The sequence below is a fragment of the Homo sapiens genome, chromosome 6 (genome assembly GCF_000001405.40).
Source record: "Homo sapiens chromosome 6, GRCh38.p14 Primary Assembly".
NCBI classification, from domain to species: Eukaryota; Metazoa; Chordata; class Mammalia; order Primates; family Hominidae; genus Homo; species Homo sapiens.
Window position 1 is genome coordinate 29,464,467 of NC_000006.12, and position 8,603 is coordinate 29,473,069.

General features: G+C 41.3%; 1 pseudogene; it reads right to left on the reverse strand.

Moving 5' to 3' along the window:
* UBDP1 (ubiquitin D pseudogene 1) lies at positions 209–479 on the reverse strand (annotated as a pseudogene).

Here is an 8,603-nt window from a genome sequence, read left to right on the forward strand (position 1 = left end):
TAGGTTACACAGAACTCCTATCTTCTGGATTAAGACTCCGTCTTCAAAGTATTTGGGCACCCTGGTTACTGAACATGAGCCAGAAGAAAATGAACTGCTTTTCCTTAAGCATCTCTCTACCCCTGGGTCACCTCCAGTGGAGTGGTATGTCAAGAAATGTAATTTGTCCTTTCTGATGCCATAATCTACCATATTTTTTTAAATTAAGTCATGCCAGGAGGAGATTTCTCTGCTCCTCATCACATGTTTCCACCAGAAACATGGGCAGCTCCGCATCTTGGGCTTCACCACCTTTAAGGTGAGGTGGATGGTCTTCTTCTTGGAAATTTCATAAGACGATAGCATTTTCTTGGGCTTTGGGGTCTTAAAGCCCAGCAGAAAAACCAAGTCCTGCATGGGAACCTTGGTCTTAGACCAGAGCTGTTCACCTACCTTCTTCACTCCATTTTAGCAGCCAATGTCATTAATTCCCATTCCTCACAATTGACACTCATTTAGGCAATTCTATATAAAGTTAAAATATTCTTCAGAAACGAAGATGAAGTAAAGATATTCTCAGTGAAAGTAGGTATCACCAACTCATCTGATTTAAAAGAAATGCTTTTAAGCATGGATTGCACTGCTTCAGGCAGAGAGGAAATAAAACCAGAGGGAAAATCAGAATATCATGAATGAAAAAGGAACAACAGAAAGAGTAATTATCTGGGTAAATGCAATCGTATATTATTCTCTTTTTGAATTATTTAAAATATGTATCTCTGTTGGAACTAAAAAGTACAACACTGATGGGGATTCATACAAATGTAATACATATGACAATTACTGAATAAACTAATAATAATAAATGGATCTATTCATTCTAAGTAGACCATGAAAGGGTAAATATTTATATCATAATCCCTAAAGCAACAATTCCAATAAAACAAAAAACCATACTGTTGTTATAGGCGTTTGAACCAGAGTGACTCCATCTTGAGTAGTGGCTGGGTAAAGTAAGGCTGAAACCTGCTGGGCTGCATTCCCAAAAGGTTAGGCATTCTCAGTCAGAGGATGAGATAGGAGGTTGGCATAAGATATAGGTCACAAAGATCCTGCTGATAAAACAGGATGCTGTAAGGAAGCCGGCCAAAACCAAGATGGCAATGAAAGTGACCTCTGGTCCTCCTCACTGTTCATTATACTCTAATTATAATGCATTAGCATGCTGAATGACACTCCCATCAATGCCGTGACAGTTTACAAATGCCATGGTAATGTCCAGAAGTAACCCTATGTAATCTAAAGAGGGGACGAACTTTCAGTTCTGAGAATTGCCCACCGTCTTCCCAGAAAACTTATGAATAATCCACTCCGTGTTTAGTATATAATCAAGAAATAACTGTAAGTATACTCAGTTGAGCAGCCCATGCCACTGCTCTGTCTATGGAGTAGTCATACTTTATTCCTTTACTTTCCTAATAAACTTGCTTTCATTTTATGGACTCGCCCCAAATTCTTTCTTACATGAGATCCAAGAATCCTCTCTTGGGGTCTGGATTGGGGCCCCTTTCCAGTAACACAGTGACATCAACAAAAATAACAGAGTAATGACTTCCAAAAATGACCTACTTCCTAAGAGTAAAATGAACTATGGAAGAATTGTCAGAATTAATATTGTTTAGAACTCTAGAAATTAACCAAAGGCTTGCTGCAATCTGGGGAGTGTTTGTTCAAGAATAATAGCTGAATCTTGATAAGAACAGTGAGCTCTGTGATGTTTTAACTGGTTCCACTCCTGTTCCTTCCTCCTCAGCTCTTAAAAACCAACGGTCCACAATCATGGTGAAAACCAGCAGACATGAAATCACTGGAGGGGACACAATAGGGTTACAGATCCTTTAATCCCTTATTTCCAGAGGACTGTTATTATTTTACCTGTCTGGTTGTTCCCTAGAACTCACAATGCTATCCTTATTTGACTTGACTCAGAGCTATCCCAGAGAGAACAATGTATTTCCTGGGGAAATGAGTAAAAAGAATCATAGGCAGTTGTTGAACATCATGGTTGCCGACGGTCATAAATAACAGTTGGAACAAACAATAGCCTAACCAAGAACTTAAAAACGAAATGTCAGGGAATGAGATGCCCATAAAGGGGATTGAAAAGCCTTAATATACTCCAGAAAGTTCCGACGGCCACATGCATGCATAGATGTGGGCATGACAAGTGCTGCATATATGCTTTGAACAGACCTGAGCAGGCTCTAAGCTCTAACCCTGAATAAGTTTGAGGCACTGCACAGACAGGAAATGAAGGCTAGGACACAGTGTAAACTGCTTGGTTGGGCTTTGAAGACCTGTATCTACCTGCACACAGAGCCTCTCTACATACACTGGGAGACATTACTTCCAGGAACCTAAGGAAATCTTTGTCCAGTCTTTACCTGGCCACTAAGCTAACCAAGCAGAGACTTCAGTGGCCACGTTGAACAACAACAACAACAAAAACAAAACAAAACAAAAAAACAAAAAAGAACAGACTTGACAGATAGTTTTTAAAAACCTGATCAAAAAACATCCACTAGCAATAGTAAAATCTGGGAACAGAAAAAATATGACTTCCAGAGTTGCCACATTATACTGTTTAAAATGCTAAGTTAAAAAAGAAAGAACGAAATAATACAACATGCAAAGAAACAATAAAGTAAGGCCCATACACAGAAAAACAAGCAGTTAGTAGAAACTGTCTCTGGGACCAGGCTCTGAAGGAGGTGTCTGCCTCAGTGCATCCAAAACAGCCAGGTAACCTTTGCTTTGGGACTGAAGTAATGGCTCTGATTCTGAGATGAGAGCTCACACTAGCCCTTAATTTAATCTTTACTTGAGGTGAAATTCAATGGATTATTAGAATGGGCCCTAATCCAGTAGGACTAGTGTCCTTATAAGAAGACGAGATTAGGATACAAACACCACAAGGGACAACGATGTGAGGACACAGGGAGAAGATATCCATCTAGGAGCCAGGGAAAGAGTCCTCAGAAGAAACCTATCCTGCCCACTCCTTGATCTCAGACTTCCTGCCTCCTAGAACCGAGAGAGAATAAACTTCTGTAGTTTAAGCTACTCGGTTTGTGGTCTCAGTCACGGGAGTCCAAGCTGATGATCACAGTTGTGATGAGAACTTTACAAATTGAATCATGGGAAGTCTTGCAATAGTGAGATCTACGACCTGGTAGATCCTATAATCCTATAATCTGAGATGCTGATTCTACAACTCTGAGCTGCTAACGCTTTGCTTCTGGGTCACAGAAGCTTCTGGAAATAAACTTGTCCCACAAACTGATAAATGCCTGTGATTTTTCTAGAAATATGCCACAGGCAACCCTGGCATCTGCAGTCACATGTCAGTATATCAGTGGGGTTTCAGGAGAAGTTTAGGGATCAGCTCCAAGTGAACCTAGTGTTTCAATCTTCCCTCCTTGCTGGGATGATGGAGTCCCCTTCAGTCAAGGCTCTGTTGAAATGAAAGGGTCTGTTCCCAGTTCCACTCTTCCCACCCAGGGTTCTGGACTGTTAATGGTTGTCCTTTTTTTGTTTTCTTCCCGTTGATTCTTTTACCATCTTCCTCCTCTTACTGATTTTGCGTGAAGGGGGGTTTTGATGGAGGTAAGGTAGCTGATAAGAAATGAGGTAGTGAGAAAACTAGTGAGGGGTCTTCTGGCTGTCCCCAGACAGTCCTCGTGTGGTCCCCAGCCCAGCCTGCAGGTTCTGGGCTGGCTACCTCTTGGCCTCTGTGCTGTGTGTCTAGAGCTGGCCTCTAAGGGAAGGGCCCTGTGAGACCTGGCAGAACAGGGTAACTGGTCCAACAAACATCCCTCCTTTCCTCTGGCTCCACAGCTCAGGATTAGATCTAGATAGCATGTCCAGTAGGTGCCAGACTACCTCATTATATCCTGTGAGATGGGCCCAGAGGGCCTTGAGGTGGGTAAGCTTGAAGCTGGGCACCCAGAGCCTGAGACTGACAGTTCCTCCCTCCCTGTATCCTGCAGGAGGGGCCCTGTCCCAACAAGAGCCCCAGGGCCTGGCCTGAGGGTGTGGATGTGGGGAGAGGAGGGTCTGTGGGCCCAGGAGGGGGCATTTGTAGGGGACATTGAGTACTGCAGCTCAGAAGACATGAATGACAGGGTGGGAGGTGTCTTCCATGTCTGTCCATGGCACAGCACCCCTGTGATTCCCAAGGGCTGCCAGGGGCCCATTCATCTGAGCTCTTTATAGATCCTACATATGAGTCCTTCATCAGATGTGAGATTGAAACCACTTCCTCCAGCCTGGAACTTGCCTTTTCATTCTCCCCACAGGGTCTTTCAAAGTGCACACATCTTATATTTTGATGAAATCCAATTGATCAATTTTTTCTTTTATGCATCATACTTTTTGTATTCATCCAAGAAATATTTTCCTAACCATAAGTTACACTGATATTCTCTTTTCTTTTCTTACATACAGCTTACAGCTTTAGGTCTTACATTATGGTTTATGATAAATTCTGAATTAATTTTTATGTATGATGCCACGTATGGATTGAAGTTCTGTTCATATGTGCATATGTATATCCAATAATTCTAAGGACCGTTTGTTGCTAAGATTGTCCTTTCTCCACTGAATTTACTTTACACCTTCTTCAAAATCAATTGAAGATATATGTTAGGGTCTATTCTGGACCCTCTTCTGTTCTGTTGACCTATTTGTCCATCCTGTTACCAATATCACACCATCTGGATTTCTGAACCTTTATAATAAGCCTTGAAGTCGGGTATTATAAACTGTCTCACTTGCTTCTTCTTTTTTCAAAGTTTTTTTTTTTTTTTTTAACTATTCTAGGTCTACTGCATCGCCACACACAGAATCACTTTCTCATGAACATACATACATGTGCACCAGAAATATAAATATATGCACATCAAGACCAAGTGAAATTTATCCCAGGGATACTAGGCAGGTTTAACATGAAAAATGAGCCAATATAATTCACCACATTAACAGATTAAAAGGCAAAAACATTATTTCAGCAGATTCAGAAAAAGCATTAGACAAAATCCAATAGGCTCATAAAAAATTTCAGTCAACTAGGAATAGAAACGAAGTTTCTCAAAATGATAAAAGGCAGCTACCAAAAAAAAAATCCTATGGTTGATATTTAGTGGGTATTACCCTTAATAATGAAAGACTGGATGCTTTCACCCCAGATGAGGAACAAGCCAAGAATGTTGGCTCTCACCACTTATTTCAGCGTCTTAAGAAGATACCATCAGGGCAAAGGACTCCTTCCTTAAATAGACACAGATTTCCATGTGGAGTCATTATTCTCTTGCTGGATGTATGTCTTTTACCACTTCTCAGTCTGCATATCTCCTGGTGATGATTTGTTTCATCTTTTTTGTGTCTCCAAAAACCTCTTTATTTTGCCATCTCTTTGGGAAATATTTTGACTGTGTAAAAAATTTTAGGCTGACAAATTTATTTCTTTTAATATTTTAAAGAATTTTCTCCACTGTCATACAACTTGCAACTTTCCAACAAGAAATCTGCTTCATTCTTATCTTTGATTTTCTGTACATATATGTCTTGTTCTTCTCTGGCTGTTTGTAGGAGGACTCAGTTTCCTGGGCATAGATATGCACGGGAAAGATGCAGTAACTACATCAAGTGTGGTGTTGTCCAAGGGTGGATAAATAGGCCAACAGAACAGAGCAGAAGGCCCAGAGACAGACCCACATAAGTCTAAACATGATTGATAACCAAAAATCAGAACAATAGTGAAGGACTATATTTGTTATAAATGTGCTGGGACCATTGGATAACAATCAGCTAAGTGGGCCAAGCAGCCTTTTGGCTTAGGCTGAAGCAGGATAATAATGTTACCTATTAATAGAGTGTGAAAACTGGCTTCATGTTTTCACAGTGATTAGAGCAATATTGAGATACAGTAAATCATCAGTGAACATATTTGCTCTAGTTGCTATTGCTACTATTCATCTTCCTGTCCCGTGCAGCGTCTTATGGTTACCATGATTCAAGTGCCTCCTGGTGAGGCCGAAACTCCACAAGACACTCTGGTCAGTCCTGGGGTACAGTTTCTTCCAGGTGGCAGAGGCTCAGTCCTGGTCACCCGCTGATCCCTTCTCAGGATGTGCCACACAGTTCTGCCCTACTGCGGGGTGAATGCTGGGATGCCTCTCTCTTTAAAAATTCCAAACAAGGGAACTGGTGTGAGAGGGTGGGTGCCTCCACTCCCTCAGCCCTTATTTCCAGGTGGGGATCACCCCAGAGGAGTAATTCTTGAGATGTGGTCCCCAACACCTTTTTAGGGGAAGGGAGGCCAACATAATCTTCAGGTAATACTTGAAGTATTGAAGTGAGTCTGTGTTTCTCACACTCATGCACTCCTGAGTGAAAGTGGAGTTTTCCAGAGACTGTATGAGGTGAGATGAAGCCGCCAACTGGAAAACTACACCAATGCAGAAGCAGCTGTGAATGTCCAGCTTGCTGCTGGGCCTCTAAGAGGTCTGCAAAATACAAAACCATCTTGCTCTTCTCAATAACATAACTTTTTAAAGAAAACATAGTTATTTTTTCTAAAATTTATTCATGTTTACATGGAATAGGCATACAATTTATGTTCTAAAGGAGTTAATAAGTAAACATTTGTAAAGTTCTGAGTTATAATTACTAATACTGTAAATATTGAAAGATACAACCCTGATCCACAAAAGTTCTTTGAGCTGCTCAATACTATTTAAGACTGAGAATCTCAGGTCTATTTTAAGCTCTGGGCTCTCTCTCTTTCCCCGCACTTTTTCCCTCCCGGGGAGAAGGAAAGAAACTGATGAGTGAGTTTGGAAGAATAACCTGGAGTGAGTGCTCCCTTCACCAGTGGGTGGTGAGTTCCCCAGAAGGACTGCTTTCCTCCAAAGAGAGATGGGCAGGAAGAGGGAGGAGGGATGGGATCCTCTGGAGTAGGTACCATTTAAGGGGCACTTTTGAAAGTCAGTTTTTTAGACATCCAAGCCCCTTTCTCCAGTTCAATTTTAGGAGCAATAGAAGTAATGCATTGTTCTCCATCTGACACTGTCCTCATTCCTTCATTCACTTTCATCAGTAGTTCTCAATTCCAGAGGGAAGGAAGGGGATTACTTACTAAACTGTAATAGTCCATACCTAGCCTTGACATTTTTGTTTTTCTGAGTGAGTGAGAGAATTCAGGAAACTGAGGACTGTCTGTGTTGCCAGGAGCTCATCAGCTGCAAGGATAATAGAGACGTTTCCACAAAAAACTAAAGAACCATAAGCCAGATGCTCACCTCCAAGGGAACTGTTGGCCCAGGGTAAAGGCACATAAAATGCCCAAATTGTATCCCCTGCCTGAACATAGCAGCAGCCCAACTCTGTGAGATCAACCTGCCTCTTACTTCCAGGCATCCAAACTTCACGGGCTAAAGTCCTAACCCTGAATGTGACAATATTTTGAGATAGGGCCTTTAAAGAGATAATTAAGGCTAAGGAGCTCATAAGACTGAGGTCCTAATCCTAAAGAATTAAAATCCTCATAAGAATAGAAAGTGTCCCCAGGGATGTGGGTACACAGAAAAAGGCCATGTCATGACACAGGGAGAAGGCGGCCATCTCAAGTCAAAGAGGGAGGCCTCAGGGGAAGCCCACCCTGCTGATACATTGATCTTGAACTTCCAAGCTCCAGGACTCTGAGAAAATAAATATCTGCTGTTTGTAGCCTAATCTATGGCATTTTGTTAGAACAAAACACGCTGACTAAAGACAGGCAGCCCGGATCAGCCCTTCTGTGCTCTAGGGCCAGGGTTTCTGCCATTCACTTATCAAAGGACAACATCAAATTATGTAAATCAAACTCTGTTTCAAATTCTAGTGTGATGTGAAACAAACTAATAGGAGATATGAACATGTCCCTATCAATTTTGTCATTTACACTAGGCAGAAATCAATATGATCCAAGTAACAGCATTTAAAGAATTGCTGTAATCTAAACATCTCAGAATTGCTTTAGAATGTATCACATTGAATATCTAAAATAAGAGAATGTACATTGCTTACCAGTATCACTGGCACATTTACAAACCTGAGCAAGTTTTCGGCAACAGAGAAAACAGTGTGAATTTCACATAACAGTCATAGTATTATACAAGTGACATTTTCCAAGTGAGTAAAAAACTGACAAATCAATTACAAGAACACTGGGAACAATCTCCAAAGACGTGTTCGTCGAATTCTAGTTAGAATATGGTTGGGAAGCCTCAAGAAGGCAGAGACAATGAAAACATGTGGAAACATGCAAGGTGGAAAGGTGGACTAGTGAGCGATGGATAACATCAGATGATGGGGGGTTAATGTCAGACTTGCAGGGCATTTTGCTACTTGCTGGGAATTTGCTAGGGTAGGAGGAAGGTGTGGCCTCTGCCCTACTGGGGCTTCAAGTGCAAATGAGGCAGGAGTACAATAAACTGATAACAACACACAACACAGAATACATAGAAAATAATTATAGACAATTATCTTCACATTAAAAGAAACAAACCTTTTAGAGAAGAGTC